The sequence below is a fragment of the Homo sapiens genome, chromosome 1 (genome assembly GCF_000001405.40).
Source record: "Homo sapiens chromosome 1, GRCh38.p14 Primary Assembly".
Lineage (NCBI taxonomy): Eukaryota > Metazoa > Chordata > Mammalia > Primates > Hominidae > Homo > Homo sapiens.
In genome coordinates, this window is record NC_000001.11 from 84,169,429 (window position 1) to 84,188,734 (window position 19,306).

The following is a 19,306-nucleotide window of genomic DNA, read 5'->3' on the forward strand; positions in this document are numbered from 1 at the left end:
CCTGGCATTTTTAGAATATAAAGCTGCATTAGAGGCAATAAAAACCAGAATAATCATTGCAGAAAAGTAAATTAATAATGTGAAGATCTCTCCAGATAGACCCTAATAGAATGTAGAGGAAATGGACAAGATAAAAATTATAAGATGGAAAGTATGTTAAATAAAAGCAGGACAAGAAATTATAAAAGAAAATAAAAGGACATTTTACAAATTGAATGGATAGCATTCCACAGAACAGAGCAGATATGATTTATAGAACAGAAAAGCAGTAATCAAAAATATGATTCAGGAAAACTTGTTAGTTGAAGAAAAACTTGAATCTTTAAATTGAAAGACCTCATTTTGTTTTGACAAGATTAACAAAGATGCCAATGCCTAAATACATCCTGGTGAGCATTTGGAATTTCCAGCATAAAAAAATGAAATCCATAAACATTCTGATGTCTTTGCATCTTACAATCTAACATGAAGCTTGTCCTATAAAGAAAAAAATGCAAAATTGGAGACTAGATAACTTAAAAATCTTTTGAGGGCAGAAATTATTTAAGATCAACAGCACCTTGAAATGCTGAATAAACTGTAACAAGTGCCCCTTTAAATGAATACCTGAATTTACCCTTTAAGTGAATTCTAATTTAATTAAAATTAAATAAATTCCCAAAGTGCAAAAATTGAAGTGGTAAATGAGAACCAGAGCTGTAAGGGGAAGCATACTTCAACTGCCCTGAGGACATTTTTAGACCTTGGTGGGGCTTTCGTTTAAAATGGCCTAACAGAGATGGATGATAGGTTGTTTAATGCATACAGTTTAGGATTTCTTAGCCCCCTGTATAAAGCCAGGATCCTGCAAGGATCATAACCTCAGTGAAAGCATAGATGAGAAAATAAAACCTCTCCACTGACAAAAGGAGAAAATAAGGAAGCTTGTGTTTCTTGGCTTGGGTTCCTGGGAACAGGGGAGGGATGTGTGTGCATGTGTAGGATGCCTCTCCTGAGAATTTTTAATCAAGTGCCTCCTCTCAAGCAGGTTTCAGTTTTTAATCTGTATTAATTGTGTGGTCTAGGAACAACCAATAAAACACATTATCAGAAGAGTTGTAGGCTTGTAACATATACTCTACACCAGCTAATACAAAATCCTATACTGGGACACATTCTCAGACCAAGACCTGCAGGTTTCTCGCAGATAAAGCCCCAATGAACTTTGTGTTCACAATCCAAAAACAAAATACACACACACTTACACACATACTGCAAATGATATTTAGATACAACAGGATTAGAACCTGCCAATAATGTCACTAGACATAGTAAAATTATCACATATGACTACTATATTAAATTAGTGACATAAAAATAAATATGAGGAAAAAATGTATGTAATTCTAACAGAGCCTTAAAATATACAAAACAAAATTGACCTATGTAGGAGAAATTTTATAGATATAGATAGAGAATTCTTACCCAGTAATTGAAGAATACATAGGAATATGTAGAACACTTACAAAATTAATAATATGACTAAATGTATTCAACAAATTTCAAATGATTGATATACAGGCTACAGTATATCAATTCTTAATTACTTAACTACCACAAGGCAATTAAGTTCAATCAGTAATAAAAAGCTTTAAAAAAATCACACAAATGTATACATTTGGAGATTTAAACATTTTAAATAACTTACCAAATAATTAACTCGTAAATTTAAGGTGTAACTATGTATCAGAACTTGTGGGGTGCAGCAAAAGTGGATATAGAGTTAAATTTTAAGTGCTCAAATTAGGAAAAAGAAAGACATTCATGATATAAGAAAACAAGTTTAAAAAGCCACATGGTTAATCAAAAGAAGAAAGAAACTGATAAAGACGAGCAAAGATCAGTGGGTGGAATAGAAAATAAAGATACATGAGAATCAAAGGTTAGTTTATGGGAAAATATTTTAAAGTACTAAATAGAACTATACCTGTTTTAAAAATTGAATCACAGAATCTTTATGCAGAACTTAACAAAATTAGGACTGGAGAGTTTTACATACAAGTTTTAGGAAACCTTCAAAGAACAAAAACTTCAATCTTGTATGGAATTTTCCAGAGCATTGAAAAAGAGAAAATACTCTTAAATGCATTTACTGATTCTAGAATAGTTTTACAAGTCAAGTATAGGAAAAGAAAATTAGATACATTTTCTCTGAAGTTGGGAATAGGAAAAGGATGTCCACTGCCATTGTTTCTGTACATCATTGTACTGTTAGTCATAACCTGAGCAGTAAAACAAGAAAAACGTGGAGAGAACCAAATTGTCATTATTCACAAATGATTTGTGATTGGTTACATAGAAGACTCAAGTGAATCTACCAATGTGATTTCAGAATTGATAACAGAATCTGGCAAGATTGCCAGATATTAAAAAAATCAATATATAAACATCGACTATGTTCTATACATCAGCAACAAACAAAAAAGGTAATTTTTAAAAATCTCCCTTTTACAATAGCAACCAAAGTGCTAAAGAACCTAGGTATAAATCTAATAAAAGTGTAATAAGACCTTTAAGGGAAAAAGTATAAAATTCTACCGAGGGATATTTACCTAATCTTTAACAATCAGACATGATTTTTTATACTCATTAGATTAGCAAAAAATGGAAAGTCCAACATTAACAAATTTTGTTGAGGATATAGAGCATCAAGGATATGGTGGGACAATAAATTGATGCTACCATTTACTGAGTCATTTGTTACTGCCGAAGTTGATACTGTGCATTCCTTATCATCTAGGAATCCATTCTTAACTCCATATTGTCGGGAAACAAGACAAAATATTTGAATTCAGGCCTTTCTGGAAAATCCTTGACATATGATTGTAGTAGATATAATACTGCTACAGGAAAAAGCCTCATTGAACAATTAAGGAAGTAAAATATACTTCAAGGAGCATTTCAAAGATTGCCTGGGTCATTAGTTTTATGACTATAAATTTACTTTGAGTTTTCATTACAAAATTATGTAGGAAACATCACGAGTCAAACATGGCATGGATGGCCTACAAAATCCATAGCATCCCCAGATGGAGAGCTGTTGGGAGAGAAGGCATGTACATATGATTAGTTGTGAATGAATACACTGTGTGAATTCATAGTGTATCCATCTATCCATGTAGATGCTAGTCAAATAAGTTAATGTATTTCTTTCTAGAATGATTATTTAAATATATGTCTCATTAAAAGTGTTTATATTTTTCCATATAAAACTATAGTAAAAATTTTTATTTTTCACAGTTCAGTGAGTCAGTCAATTATGCTGTTCACTTGTAACTAAGACTTGATGAAAAATTAACAAGTAATAAAACACAGAGAGGAAAGAAGAGTAAAATAAATTTTGTAATAGGAAGTGTAACTTTCATTGCCTATTAAACTTCCAAATACTCATATATATGTGGCTTTAGTCTTTATAGAAAGACTAATTAATCATCTTAGAAATCAAAGGTAGGCATAGTCCAATCCAATAAACTGTACAATTACAACTGAAGTATTAAAGTTGTTTTTTATACTCGCTATCATTTTTAAGGTTATAGTGAATTTAGTTTGAATCAGTATGTTTAATATGATGAGGCAAGTGCCCCTTCAGCAAAGTGAACACAATTATTCTTCAGTTTCAAAGGACAGAAGATGATAATTTATTAACATATTTCCAGAGAAGAGTTTTGGTTGGTTAAAAAAAAAGGATATCCAAAGAATTTCTTGTAATCCTTATATAATACATTTTTGGTATGTATGTTCAATTGTTTTATCATTCTATTTCTATGTGCAGTACAGTAGTGAACATGTATAGATGGGTAACTTCTTGTAGGTATGTTATTTTATGTGTTATTTAATCTCTGTTTATTCTTTTTGATCAAGCACGCAAATCATCAGATGCATCTGGTAGGAAAACCCCTTTTTTTACAGAATAATTCTGTTACTTTGATTATCGTAAGCTAAATTTTTATGAGATATTTTGTGGCAATTAGAATATTTTGTGTTGAGTTTTTACAATTCTGTTTACTGAAAATATTTTTAGTGTGTGTGTATGTGGGGAGGGGGAGAGTATTTTTAGAAATACCAAATAAAGCTCTAAAGAGGTAGATATTTGAATAGGGGTGGAAGAAGATGGACTAATGCATTCCCCTAGATTTACACTTTCCAGAGATTTTTCTGCTGTTATTTAATGATAGAACTTGGTATTTTCATAGGTAACTTACCTTAGTTTCCATCCTCTTTTGTTCTTTCTGGCATGCACTAAATAATTCTTAAATAGAATAATGCTTTTATTAAGGTAAAAGAGGGAGATGAAACTAATGACAAAGTAGAAGGAGCATGAATTATTATCTTTTCAGTAACAAATTTTTAAACTGTTATTACAAAAATGACACTATTAAAAACATTATTGCTTGTGGTTCCTAATATTTTATCTTTCTCTAATAGAAAATTTTTAATAGCCCTGTTCCTTATTCCCTACAAAAATAGCCATCAACATCTAACATATTGAGACGTCTAATCCTCATCATCCCTCATTATTTTATCCTATTCCCCTCTCCCTTAGCAAAAGATCTTGCCTTCTGGTTCCCGGAAGAAATAGAATCTAGCAACTGTGAACTAACTCAGTTTACTTCTGTTTCTACCCATGCGTTGAAAAGCATCACTATGCCAAAAAATGCCTCCCTGATTCGGCATCTGCTTGCCTGTGCACTTCATCTCCCACTGATGTTTTACATGTCCCCGATGCTGCAGTTATTACAAGTCAGTTGCTGTTTCCTGGATAAACCATGCTCTTCTTCCATGCCATTTATGTAAGATCGTCTCAGCCTAGGAGGTCTTTTTCCCCAACTTTATCTGCCAGAGGAATTCTTATCTTTCAAGATTCAGCACAAATGCTGTATTCTCTATTATGCCTTACCTTACTGTCCAAGAATTTCCCCCTCCCAGCTCTCACAGCACCTTATAATTGCCTTTGTTGTAGTCTTTGTCCCATTCCATTATGATGATTCATGTAAGCTTCTCATTTCCTTAACAGTGGAAATATGTTTATTCTTTGTAGTATTCAGAGTCTAGCTCAGAATCTGACACCACTAAATGGTGCTCAATAAATACTGTTGAAAAGATTGTTAAACCAGCACTGAGGAAGTGGAATGACTGAAAAATACTAAAGTTTTTCAAAAGGAAGAAACCAGGTGTTATAATGCGTAATGTCTTTCCTACAGTAGATTTTGACTGAATAACAGAACTCCAGAGATGGTATTGCAATAGTTACAGGATATGTATGTCAATATTTGCTTCTTAATATTGTTATGAGGACTATTGTTGTGAGAACTTAAAGTTTTTGTTAGTTGTTGTTTTAAGGAAAATAAGAAGGTTATTGATTTTGGCACTAAACAATAGTTACTTATTTCTTTACCATTTAATTTGAAGATAACTTATTTGAATACATACAATCAAATAATTGAATTTCTACATTAACATTTTATTTCTGTATATAGTATTCTGAAAAAATGCGTATTGGTGACTTCATGCTAATATGTTATTCATATAATTTAATCATTTTCTAATTTATTTTTTGGACACAAGCTTGCTCCTCTTCAGAAATATCTGGTAGGCAATTACTTTTTAATAAAACAAATATTACCTTTAAAATTTTTTATTTATTGTTTGCAAGTTTTTATTTTCCTTATAAAGTTATATATTTTTAAGTATATCAAGTTAATGAAATATTTTCATTGATGAAGGAAATAGTTTGTTTAGTTTTGTTGGGTTTTATCTATATAAATGATTTATATTGTAATTTCTTGTGTGGTATTTTAGAAAGAATAACTGTAGCACCATGAAACAGTAGATGTACAAAGTAGTAGAAGAAAGATTAATACAGTAAAAGAAAGATAAATAAGTAGAAGAAAGATTTATAAACTCTTAATACAAAATATGAATGATATTCTTTTAAGAATTGGATAATGGTATACTGTGACTAACAACATACTCTTTTTATCATAAGCAGTAACCTAGTTTATCTTACACAGCAGTCAAAAATATCTAATAAATACATTTGTTAAATGTTAATAGTGAAACATTCTTATAGTGGAATTACCTGAATTATATGGGATGAAGTTATGCTGTGCCTGAATTTTCAGTCAGTTTTCCTAATGTTTAAAATAAACTTTAAAATCTGATTTTTAAACTATGTTCTATGTATAAATACATTGAAAAATTTGAGGGGGGATAAGAAGTAAGTTGTGTTTTTATGAACTTGTGAAAATGCATAAAAATTGTCTCTCTTTTTTTTTTCATCTCTTGAATGTGGGTGAATGTTCCTGCAAACAAATCTTGGGTGAACATGTAGATTCCTTTGGTATGCTCATTTCCTTTAGAATGCAATGTGATAGACTATTTAAATCATACAAACAGAAAAAATATATAATTGAAAATGTATACTTTTGGGAATAAATTAATTTTTTGTGTGTCCTCTTTTTTGTAGTATCTACTTTGTTCAATTATTTACCAGTAGAGAATAAAATGTGTTTCAGAAAAATCATTCTTTGAAGGATTTTTTTCTTAAGAAGAGTTACTAATCACTGTTAGATGCTTTGGAGATAGGTACCTATGGTCACACAGCTAGGAAGTATTAGAGCTAATATTCTAACTCAGATGTTCCAAGCTCTGAAACCATCATAATAATTTAAGTGGTTAAATGTAGATATGGCTTATATATTAGAACACAATAAGTAAACTAAATAATTGAGAACTTCAAACTATATGCTTTATAGGGAATTCTGGGTTGAATGTGGAGCAGTATTTGAATCTGGCTGTCTCTGTCACATCTTATTTTATTAATTATCTGCCAACACTTTATTTCAGTGGATAGAAATTTTTTAAATAACCAGAGAAGAGAAAGGCATTTAGAAGTTACATCCACCAATATCTAAACATAATAAAATTCAAAGCAAATGCATGTGGTTCTAGATTGCTTATTGTTTTAGGGTTACACATAATCCAATATATTGTGAAATATTTTATTTTTGGTAGATTTGTTATTAAAAGATGTATATTTTGATTAACTTATATTTTTACAAATAATTATGTTTATCTTTGCATCTACATAGTACACATAAAAACTAGAGATTTCATATGTGTAGATATTTTTATATGAAAAAAAATGTTTCAGGAACAGGTTTTCCTCATAGAACTATTTAATAACATCATACTTAGTGCCCATCCTTTAATGTACTCGAAAAGAAAATCCCTTTATATTTTGAAGTAATTCACAAAATATAATAATATATTTGATTAATACTCATTTCTGATAATTTTCACATAAGACCTTTATAAAAACTTTTCCCTACTTTTACAGTATTATTTGACAGTAAACTCAGGAATATTGATGAGTACAGAGAGTATTTTAAAGAATTTCTTGCATATTCTATTAGTGAATAAAATTAAATAATGCCGGAAATTTTTCTTTTAGCTTATCACCAGGCAGGGAAAAGGAATTTTTTTCAACTTACCATCTTTGACAAATACTGTCAGTCCTTCCTTTGATCAGTTACTTTTTTCTTAACTCCAGATCCACTTAGCATAAAGTGACAGGAGAAGCTGAAACAGGATGTTAAAGTTGTTTTTTTTACCTTCCCTTACTCTTTTCTTTGTCTCTAAATTATTTATACTCATATAGGCATCTGGAGAGTTTATATTGCAACTTGATGTGCAAGTTCTATAAATAAAAGATAACTAAAAATATTTTTCAGAAGAAACAAGGGGTATATTTTGGGAATCACAAGTTGTTTTTTCTTAAATGCCACAGTGCATGTTGCAATAAATTATGTTTTTAATTTAATTTATAGCCATCATGTCCAAGTGAATGCCATGTGCAGATATGTCTGCTCCATGCAAAAAAAGAAAATCTTACCTATAAAATTACTCTTTTTCTGTTGTAACTAGCACATTCATTTTTAGAAGCAAGGATGACTTGAACCATCCTAAATTCCAAGAAAAAATAACAATTTGGCCGGACACAGTGGCTCACACCTCTAATCCTAGCACTTTGGGAGGCTGAGCCAGAAAGTTCACTTGAGCTCAAAAGTTCAGGACAAGCCTGGGCAGCACAGTTAGACCCTCATCTCTACAAAAAGTAAGAAAATTAGCCAGACTTGGTGGTGCACATCTGTAGTCCCAGCTACTCAGGAGGCTGAGGCAGACGGATTGCTTGAGCCTAGTAGTCTGAGGCTCTAGTGGACTGTGATCATGACACTGCACTCCAGCCTGAGTGACAGAGCAAGACCCAGTCTTAAAAAAAGTAATAGAAAGAAAAGAGAAAATGTAAGAATTTGCCACCCTTAATCCACCCCTCAGGAAGAATTAGATTATATTTGGATGATTAGGTAAAATTCTTTGATTCATTGTTTTAGTGCATGAGATTTTCCTACAATGGGAAAATTCTAAGTTTAAAAATTCTTTTTCTCAGTTTTTCTAAAAAAGGCATTCTGAGAGTATTTTACAGTAAAATACAAAGGACAGTTTATAGAAAGTACTAAAATAATGTCTTCAGAGATTCATACTCTAATGTTACTTAAAAACTAATGTCTGCTCTTGGTGCCTGTCATCATCATTTTGAAATCTCAAAACATTTAAAATGCCAAAAGCCTTTTTGGTTAGTAACAGTATTTTCCCAAAGGTATGACATTGGTATGACATTTATAAAGGAGGAAAAATAAAGTATGTTTTAAAATAGGTACCTATCTCACTTCAATACTACTGTATCATTGAGAATCTTAAAGAATTTGTGAGCCCTTCACTAGTATAGTCAGGTTTTATTCTTATACCTAAAGATATGAACAACAATACATTTTGTTAATGCTATTTTATCTCTTTGGAATATTTTTCCTATTTGTTTTTAAACATCTGAAGTTGTTTTCTAAGATAGCTTTTGAAAATGGGGAAAGTTTTAACTGGTTCATCATTTAATTTACAAATTTAAAACTTCAAACCATAGCTCTATAAAATAATGTGGCTATTTTATACCCACATTATTAATCAATATACAAACACTTGGTTTTGAATTGCTTTACTTTAGTGCATTTTAAATTGGGTATTCAGACATTTAGTTTATGCTGCAAATTTAGAATGAGATTGTTAAACTGGATTTTTTGTTGTCGATGTTTTGTTCTGTTTTTAAGTCTTTGTTGGTGTCCTTTATGTGCTAGTCTTTGCTTTTATTTTTTCCCTTTGCCATTAGTAAAGAGAACACAAATCTAATACATAACATAAATCCTTACACCTGAAAACAGCTCTTTATCAAGATCAACTATTTTTGAAATTCCACGAATCAGTAGGTTAATGTTCTCCACATGTTTTCAATTCTTGTATCTAAAGGCTCCGTTAATATTACTGATGGCCTTTTTACAGTCACTATTTTGTCCTAAATTAATTTCTGACTTTCTTACATTACTTTCTAGTATGTTTTCAGGAACAGAATTTTTGTTATGACATTTGAAATTATCAAAGTGGTTTCTTTATAGAACAATATTAGAGAATCTTAGAGATTTGAGAAGGTTCTTAGAGATACTAAATAGCTCTTTAATGTATCATGGTGATAAATATACATTTTATCACAATAGATGACATGTCTTTTTTTAAGTGAGAAAACCATATGCAATATAAATATTCTTATACAGAATATAAATATTCTTACAAGATAAATTTGTTTTTATATGTATATTTTCAGTGAAAGAGTTTCTAGCCAAAGCCAAAGAAGACTTTTTGAAAAAATGGGAGAATCCAACTCAGGTAAGGAATATTTAGATTTTTCTAAAATTAAAAATCTTGTATTAATAAAATCAGGATTCTTGCCTAAGAAATTTATTACTTTAGAAATTTTAATTTTCATGTGGTGTTAGTAAACAGAAGCTTAAAATGGGAATTTTGCCATAGTTATACTTTGATGTATTAATTAATAATCTTAATGTATGCCTAAATTGCAGGAAATAATTTCCAGTATAATACCTAATTATAAATTTGATACTGATTCCAGTTGCTATAAAATCTTAATATTTTCAAATATATTAATTTTGAATTATGCCTTTGATAGCATACTTATAATTTTTATTAATTACAAAAATAAGAGTCCTTACGTACAGTTTAAAATTCTCAGTCATAGAGAATTTGGCTATCAACAACATCCCTGATACACAGGCATCTTTTTTATCATCATTTTGATGGGTTATGTTCTATATAATTAAAGTATTTTAGATCTTAACTAGGATCTAAAAACTGTATATAAAAAACCATCTATACTTTACAAAAATAATATTTTTGGAGTTATAAATAATGAATGAATTTTAATAGTAAATTAAATTTTGTTATACTTCAAGTTCTGGGTTGCATGTGCAGAATGTGCAGGTTTGTTACATAGGTATAAATATGCCATGGTGGTTGCTGCATCCATCAACCCGTCATCTACATTAGGTATTTCTCCTAATGCTATCCCTCCCCTAGCCCCCCACCCCGCGACAGGCCCCGGTGTGTGATGTTCCCCTCCCTGTGTCCATGTGTTCTCATTGTTCAACTCCCACTTATGAGTGAGAACATAAAGACCAAAAAAAAAAAAAAAAAGAGGTCGTTATTTGAAAAAGATACTTGCACACGCATGCTTATAGTAGCACAATTCACAATTGCAAAATAGTGGAACCAATGCAAATGCCCATCAATCAACGAATGGATAAAGAAACTGTGATATATATATATATATATATATATATGTATGATGGAGTACTATGCAGCCATAAAAAAGAATGAATTAACACATTTGCAGTGACCTAGATGAGATTGGAGACTATTATTCAAAGTGAAGTGAAAGTAACTCAGGAATGGAAAACCAAACATCATATGTTCTCACTGATATGTGGGAGCTAAGCTATGAGGACACAAAGGCATAAGAATGATATAATGGACTTTTGGCACTTGGTGGGGGAGAATGGGAGGGAGGCAAGGGATAAAAGACTACAAATATGGTGCAGTGTATACTGCTCAAGTAATGGATGCACCAAAATTTCACAAATCATCATTAAAGAGCTTACTCATGTAACCAAATACCACCTGTACCCCAATAACTTATGGAAAATAAAAGAAAAATAAAAGATATTATAACCAAAAAAATTAAATTTTGAAAGTCTTTTCTGCCTAGCTCAAAAGTTTTTATTTCAAGTATTTTCTCACTAAAGAATTCTAAGTAAATGTTTCTTAAAGATGCCATTACTATCAAGATTTAGAGTATGACCTATAAGTTAAAACATAGCCACAAAGATTAAACATTGTGATTACAAAATGTTAGACATTGTGTAACATGAAACAATAAGAGAGGTAAGGAAGATAACATATTTTTATAATACAAAGAAAAGCAATGAAAAAAGCATAAAGAGCAGAAACACATATTCTGTTGTCTATTAATAAAGTTTGTTTTCATTATTTGGTTGGTACTATGGTAAACATTTTAATCCATCCATGTTGATAAAACCTAAGATTAAATATTAATTAAATTAATTCAGTCAGAATTATAAGAGCTTTCTGTGTTGATAAAAAAATCTTATGACTACTTAAAATTATTTTAAATTTTAAGCTGTGAAATCAAACTATGATGAAAACAAGCTATAAGTAAAACAGAATTGCCTGCTGTCTGTAATGATCCAACAGAAAGCTAAAATGGGTCTCAAAAGGCAAGGTTTGATTTGCAATACAGATAAAATCCAACTACAGTGAACTGTAATACCTATACAAATTCCTCACTGGACAAAGAATCATACTGCATCACATTTTTTCAAGCTAAACACTACATACTGGGCCTTCAGAATATTTTTCTGATATTTTCATGGAGTTCTTTGCAATGAAACCTATTAAACAAATGGGTCAGCAATTACTACTTCTTGCCATTTAACACATAATTTGTCCCTAATAATTTTCATTTTGTTGTGGCAGGAACAAATTTAATAGATTGATGCCTCCAATTATTTGCTTCTGTGCTGTAGTCAAAGCCAAACAAAGATGTTTCCTTATAACAAAACATCTATTCAAGAAAAAAAGAGTCTGATTATTGTTCTGGGATTCTGGCTTTTGGTTCTTTGTAGAATGAGGAACTCTTCTTTCCTTATTGTTGTTGTTTTAGATAATACTGTGTTTTTATAATATAAAGAGAGAAAGCCACTAGGCTCTCTCATGCTGCTACTATCTAGTTCTATAAGCTTATATAAAGACAGAAATGAAGCAAGACTGATTTCTTCACAGGTAACTTTAGTGAAAGAGCTCTGATCCCTCAGTTTATCTATTCATTACAGTTATTTGCAAGTGCATTAAGTCTGTATGGCTTCTATGACTCTTTGTCAGTATGCCTCTGGTCAGTTTGTAATTATTAAAATATGAAACTAATTTATTGGAAGTTCAGTAGTAAGATTAAAGTCCAATACTAGGAATGCATACTGGAATATAATCTTTAATATTTCAGCTGAGGCTCTTATTTCCTCCTATTACTATTATGCTCTGTTTTCCAATACATTCTCTCCTCAGATATTAAATACTTTCTTATTCAAAGGGAAAAATAGAACCAATAAACTGGAATCTCAATAGCTTTTTTGTATTGCATTTAAATGGATAGTTATAAATGGGATTATCCATTATGATTATGTATTATTAAAGCATTTATAATTCCCATAGTGTTTTTACGAGAATTTTAAATTTTATTTATGTATTTACATATAGAATAATGCCGGACTTGAAGATTTTGAAAGGAAAAAAACCCTTGGAACAGGTTCATTTGGAAGAGTCATGTTGGTAAAACACAAAGCCACTGAACAGTATTATGCCATGAAGATCTTAGATAAGCAGAAGGTGAGTGTATTTGTTGTTATTTACCTTCAGGGTAAACTTTAGTTTTATCAGCTAGACTATTAAACAGATTCAGTATAATGACTTACCATTGACAGCTTCAAATAATTTTATTATTAAATTTAATTTTTATTGTAACTAAATTTTTATTGTAACTATATTATACATAGTTAGTATACAGTCAGCCCTTCCATATCTATGGGTTCCACGTCCATGGATTTAACCAATCACAGATTGAAGATATTTGGGAAAAAAATTACATCTATACCTAACATGTACAGACTTTTGTTTCTTGTTATTATTCCCTAAACAATACAGTGTAACAACTATTTACATAGCATTTACAATATATCAGGTATTATAAGTAATCTAGAGATGATTTAAAGTATATGGACAGTGTGTATAGGCTTTATGCAAAGCCTCTGTCATTTTATATAAGGGACTTGAGCACCTGGGCATTTTGGTTTCTGCTGTAGGTCCTGGAACCAACCCCCAGGGATACTGATGGACAACTATAATTTATTGTGACAATTATGGACTAATTTGTTTTGTAACTATTACAGAAGTTAAAATGTGTACAGTAGTGATCCAACCACTTCATGTTACAAATTTTGAAAACCTGAGGCCCAAAGATTTGAAATCATCTCAAGTCAGAAAGTTAGTTAAATAAAAGGCCTAGATTAAAACACAAATCTGACTCCTACTCAATTTATTTGCTCAATATTATCAGTATACTCCTAATTTTATATATTAATACCTGGCTGGTATCTTTAATTACTTTTGTTATTTATATTTAACTTCTTGACTTCTGTGACTATCCTCACATTGACCATTAGACTCCAGCAAGAAAGAATGCCACCTTCTAATGATTTACACATATACAAGAAAATTATTTATATGTCTTGCTAAAGTCACCACTTCTTAAATTCAAAATAGAATCACATATGGAATAGAATCACAGTCTTCGTGAAGTCAAGATAAATTACTTTCCCCTTCTATTAAATAGAAAATCTAGAGGAAGCTTAAGTCTAAATGACCTAGGATACAAAGATAGTTTTTGTTATAAAGATAGTTTTTTCCCCAATATTTTGTGTGTCCTCTTCTATGGCAATATAAAATAAATTTTTAGAATTTATACCTATATTTATTTAGATATTATAAAATGAAAATTGTTCATTTTTACTCACTATTTTTCAGTTATGGACTTTCTCTTCATTTTTAATTTTCTTATTCATCTTCTGAAGTATTTAAAATCACTATCTACTTATTGCAGAGATTTGAGCCAGCTTTTATAGAGGACTTTAAGTCATTAGGACCTTAGTATTTTCACATTCATTTTTAAATTACCTTAAGTAATTATATATTTATTTAAGCATAATTGACATAACTAATTTTTAAAGTAATTTCTTATGAGTTTGTTTCTTATTCCTACTTAGCTCTCACTTCTTAATTGAAACCATAATTGACCTTCCTAAGACCAAGTTTTAAATCCTCTATTAGGTTTTCATTTGAATCCTATTATTAAAAGTAATGGCAAAAACCGCAATTACTTATGCACCAACCTAAAAGTTGGTAATTGTTATTATCTTCCTTATCCAATTCTAACAATTTTGCTTATCCAAGTTTATTACTATATGGAAAACATTTTTTTAAATGATAACTTTTTAATTTTGCTTAAATACATTAAGAGATATTTATCTCTCAATTACAGGTTGTTAAACTGAAGCAAATAGAGCATACTTTGAATGAGAAAAGAATATTACAGGCAGTGAATTTTCCTTTCCTTGTTCGACTGGAGTATGCTTTTAAGGTAAATTTTAGTAATATCTAAATAAGATATTTTCAACCTAAATTTTTTTTAAGATGAAACTATAAATGGATTCTAAACCAGATGATAAGCCTGAAGAATATGAATAAACAAAACGAATACCTCTAGAGTTTGTGTAATTAAATCCTATTGTGCTTATAACTTAGGTAACGTTTGAAAAGGTTTTGATTCTCCCTGGGGAAATTGTTCAAAGGTGATACTCATGAGATGGTATTACAAAAAGAAATATTTCAATTTATCAAAAACCATAGGGATATCTTAATAACAATTCTTATGCAAATTCATACACCCAACACATTTTCTACTTTGATTAAGCCCTTTTTGCCACTATCTCATCTTCTTTTACTTAGTAATTTGAGTTCTAGTCTTTTCACTTATACAAAGCAAAATTTTTGTTCCACTATTCAAATGTCTGAAAAATTGTACCACATTTATTATTTAAATTGGTCACTTTTGAGCTCTTTGGAATGATACTGGCATCTCTCTGCAATATTGAATCATATGAAACATTTTAATCTTTTTTCTCCTTTATTCTTTAAATTAAATGAAGACCTATGTATTTAAAATATTAAAACCATTAATCTTTTATACATAAAATGTAAATATTCTTATTAACTTTTTAAATTGTTTTTTACCTTTGTTATTCTTTTGCATATATTATAACGTTACTTCATTGCCTGAGTATTTAATTGTTTGAGAACTAGATGTTCTCTGCAAGAAAAGGAAGAGCAAAAGTCCCAGACTAGTTTGTGGCAAAAATAACTAGGAGGGGAAAAATATGAGTGTCTCTGTATAGAAAAGCTAGAGCATGTTCCATTTATTCTTTATTTCTCAAGGTTATTAATCTGTCAGAGAGATTTTAAATTTTTCTAATTCAGCATTATATAATATTAAAATAATTTTGACCTAAGTTGAATAATTGTATTTCCTTTTTATTTGTTCATAGGATAATTCTAATTTATACATGGTTATGGAATATGTCCCTGGGGGTGAAATGTTTTCACATCTAAGAAGAATTGGAAGGTTCAGGTAACTAATGGTTTTGCTTTCTTCAAATCTTTATATGCTTGTGTTGTTTAACCAGATTTTTAAGTTGATGCCAATGCCAAAAACTTATTTTGTTTGATTAATATTTTGGCCATATGAAGCATTAGGTGGAAACAAAGAGGCCACATCATACACAAGTTTTAATATAAAGAATATAAAAATTTAATATAAAAAAAGGACTTTGAAGCCAATTTAAATGTTATACTACTGCTAGATATTGTGAGGGTCCACTACTTGAAGAGTTTTCAGAAAATGGAAAAATTAATTGAATTTTAAAATATCAATATTTATTAAACAAAGATTAATAATACAACTCCAGGACAGAGGATTGTTTTAAGGATGAAGATGGAAAATAAATATATAGAGAAATAATAATAATAGTATTATGGTAATAAGATTATAAAAGTTTGTTTTTCACAAATTTAATTCTCCTTAAAGTTCTTGCTAAGTTTAGTTTTTAAAATATACACATAATTTAACGGGAGTTTGTACCTCATCAGGTTATGACTAATAAGATCTCAGAGTTATTAAAATAGGTTATAGAATCTGATGGTTTTACCTGTACTTAATAGTTTATAAGCTTCTACCGTTCATTAATAATCACTAATAGAATAAAGCTAAAATAAAAAACAGGTACAGCTTCATTCAGTATAGTGTGTTGAAGTCAAAATAAAAATGTAGAGACAAATCTCTAAATTCAACATTTTATTGAGGAAGCAAGAATTGCAGTTTGAGGCATATACACAGACTAGGTGGTCTTCAATGTGTCTAGAAAACAAAGAAAAGGTTGGAGGTTTTATAAAAAGAAATTTTATGTTTATTTGTTTTGAAACAAAGTTTACTAGCACTAGTTAAGTTTTGGGGAGCTGGCAAGCTCTGATTGGTGAGTGATGGTGGTGGGTCAGACTCGTCTAAGAGTCGCAGTAGGTTGTCTCAGTAGCTGTTAGAGAAAACTGGTTTCAGGTTACAATAGGCAGTTTCAGCAACTAGACTTGTGGAAAATATAATTTTTTTGTTTGTTTTTGGTTTTTTTTTTGAGACTGAGTCTCCCTCTGTTGCCCAGGCTGGAGTACAGCGGCACCATTTCGACTTACTGCAACCTCTGCCTCCTGGGTTCCAGTGATTCTCTTGCCTCAGCCACCCGAGTAGCTGGGACTAGAGGTGTCCGCCACCACATCCGGCTAATTTTTCTATTTTTGGTAGACACAGGTTTTCACCGTGTTGGCCAGGCTGGTCTCGAACTCCTGATCTCAAGTGATCCACCCTCCTTGGCCTCCCAAAGTGCTGGGATTACAGGTGTGAGCTACCACACCTGGCCTTAATTCTTGGAGCAGGTGCTGTGTGCCCTGAGTGCGTTATTCCCTGGCCCCTCGACTCTGATTTAGTTAGGTATGATGAGAATGACTAATTTGTATAATCAGCTTTCACATTTTTCCCTTTTGATCAAGATCTTTCTCTGAAAGCATTGCTTGTCAACCATCTTGAAGTTAGGCTTAATTATTCCTTGGTGCTCGGATGGACTTGTTCTGGTTGTCTCTGTCCCACATATGAGAGAAGTTATCTGTTGGGGGGTGTCTATGTAGGGACCTGGGCCACATTCAAGTAACGAGGAGGCCAGAAGGAAAATTTTTCTCAAAGTAGATTTTTGTCTGGAGTCCAGCCAGCATCGAGTTCCCACTTATCACTTCCATAGGTATTAGCAGTCATCTTTAAGTGTTGGGCTAACGTTATTCTGTTGGGACAGCTGCCTTTACAAAGATTAGATAGGCACTAAGAACAAAGCTTACAAATGATAGTACAAAAAAATTAACAATATAGTAAAATGTATTTGTGCAGTGCTTTTGAACTAAAGCCCAGGCCTAAGGGCAAAAAACTAAAGAAATCAAAGGACCAGGGGAAACTGGTGAGACCTGCTATAGCCATTGACTAACATTTTATGACTGGGTTGAACTAAAGCAGAGAATGCCAAACTTTGCAAGAGGGACCACCAGCACAAATTAAACAAAAAATTGTGTTAAGGATATTGTCGATGTTGTGACTAGATGAACTGAAAGAATTTCTTAAGTCAGGCTTTGTCAATGGCTTTAGCAGGTCTCACCAGTACCTATAGCAGTTACTGATTGTGAATTTTAAATTACAATATTATTTGGTTAAGTGAAAAAGCAGGCATTAAGAGGGGTAAGAGTTTCATTACAATATGGAGTCTTGTTCTAGTGTTTTGAGAAAAGCTGTTCACACCATGGAAAACATCAACTTTCTTGGCTTTGTTTACAGTGTAAATGTCTCTGGCTATGGCTTTGGGCAGTTTGATGAACTTTCTGTGTGGCCCATACATCAGGCATGAGACTTGTTTCTTAAAATTTATATAGTTTCAGCTAACAGGACTTCAGGAACAGAGCGGTTCTCATTTTAGTAATTTTATGGAAGAAAGTTCGATTGGAGGAACCTAGAAGAATTTAGGACCTTGTCTAGTCTATAGGTAGATAACAAGACTCAAAAATAATGTACAGACTTACAGTCTAATAACAGGTATATTATAGTTATTCTTTAGAAAAAACTTTTTTCTCTACATTGATTACATAGGAATCTTGGATTTAAAAACCTCTTGAGGCAAGGAAGCCGAACCAAGGCAGTCTTAGATTTTCCTTACAGTCTTGAGGTTCCTGGTCCTGCCAGGAAGTAACAGTTTTTATTTACTCATTGTAATGCTGAGAAACCCTTGAAGTCAGGCATTTTATGCACTTTTTAAATACGATAGTTCAGTTAGAGCCTTAGTAATATAATCAGTGTTTTCATATTCTGCTATAAAGAGAGAGCAGATTTTTACTGGACCTGTGCAAATAGTCATATTCCCATAAAAGTACTTACAACTAATTTTTGAATTAAGGAGAAAAAAAGCAAATGCTTTTATCTTTTTTTACAAAAATATACTTTACCAAATTGCTATAAATTATAAATAGCTAAAGAGATAAGTTTTTTTAAATCTGGAAACCAAAATATTTAAGAACTAACAATGTAACAATGTTTTAAATGAAAGTTATGAAAACATTATTTTTATCAATTATTTAATTTCATGTAATTTTTGTTCTGCTTGATCTTAATTAGTATTTTCATATACTCATCTTTTTTTATTAGGGTTCTGGAAATTTTTATTTAGTCTATTGATCTTAAAGTTATTAAAAACCTGTATTTAAGGGTACTTGTTGGGGTCTTTTCTATGAATCTGATTGTAAATAATTTTGAGAATTCAAAATATTAACTCTGGATGACAAAAATCTAGAATAGCCATGGGTAAAAATCTGATGAAAGTTTACAATTAACAAGTAAAATTAGTTATTTCTATTTTATCTAGCATTTTAAGACAATAACCAGAATTATGAATAACGTTAATTTCTCTGAATTTATATAATTTTTGAAACATTCATATGAACAACATAGCCATAAATGCAACTAAAAGATCTAGTATCACATCATTTATACAATCTCTTATATAATTTAAAAATAAATCTAATTATTTAATACGTCTACAAGATG

General features: G+C 30.8%; 1 protein-coding gene across 36 annotated transcripts in view; it reads left to right on the forward strand.

Annotated features, from left to right (window-relative positions):
- Positions 1-19,306, forward strand: part of PRKACB (protein kinase cAMP-activated catalytic subunit beta) — a 160,420-nt gene that overhangs the window by 91,350 nt on the left and 49,764 nt on the right. For 14 of the 36 annotated variants that reach the window (XR_007061945.1, NM_002731.4, NM_001375576.1 and 11 more), the window contains exons 2-5: positions 9,749-9,810; positions 12,772-12,900; positions 14,609-14,707; positions 15,672-15,754. Coding sequence is in view for 35 of the 36 variants with exons in the window: in NM_002731.4 (NP_002722.1) it covers positions 9,749-9,810; positions 12,772-12,900; positions 14,609-14,707; positions 15,672-15,754 (373 nt within the window). In the remaining variant the exon portion in view is untranslated. Of the gene's footprint in view, positions 1-3,900; positions 3,925-5,604; positions 5,629-6,370; positions 6,380-9,748; positions 9,811-12,208; positions 12,301-12,771; positions 12,901-14,608; positions 14,708-15,671; positions 15,755-19,306 lie in introns of those variants that run through there. The other 22 variants (NM_001242857.3, NM_001375581.1, NM_001375569.1 and 19 more) reach the window with 6 other exon arrangements.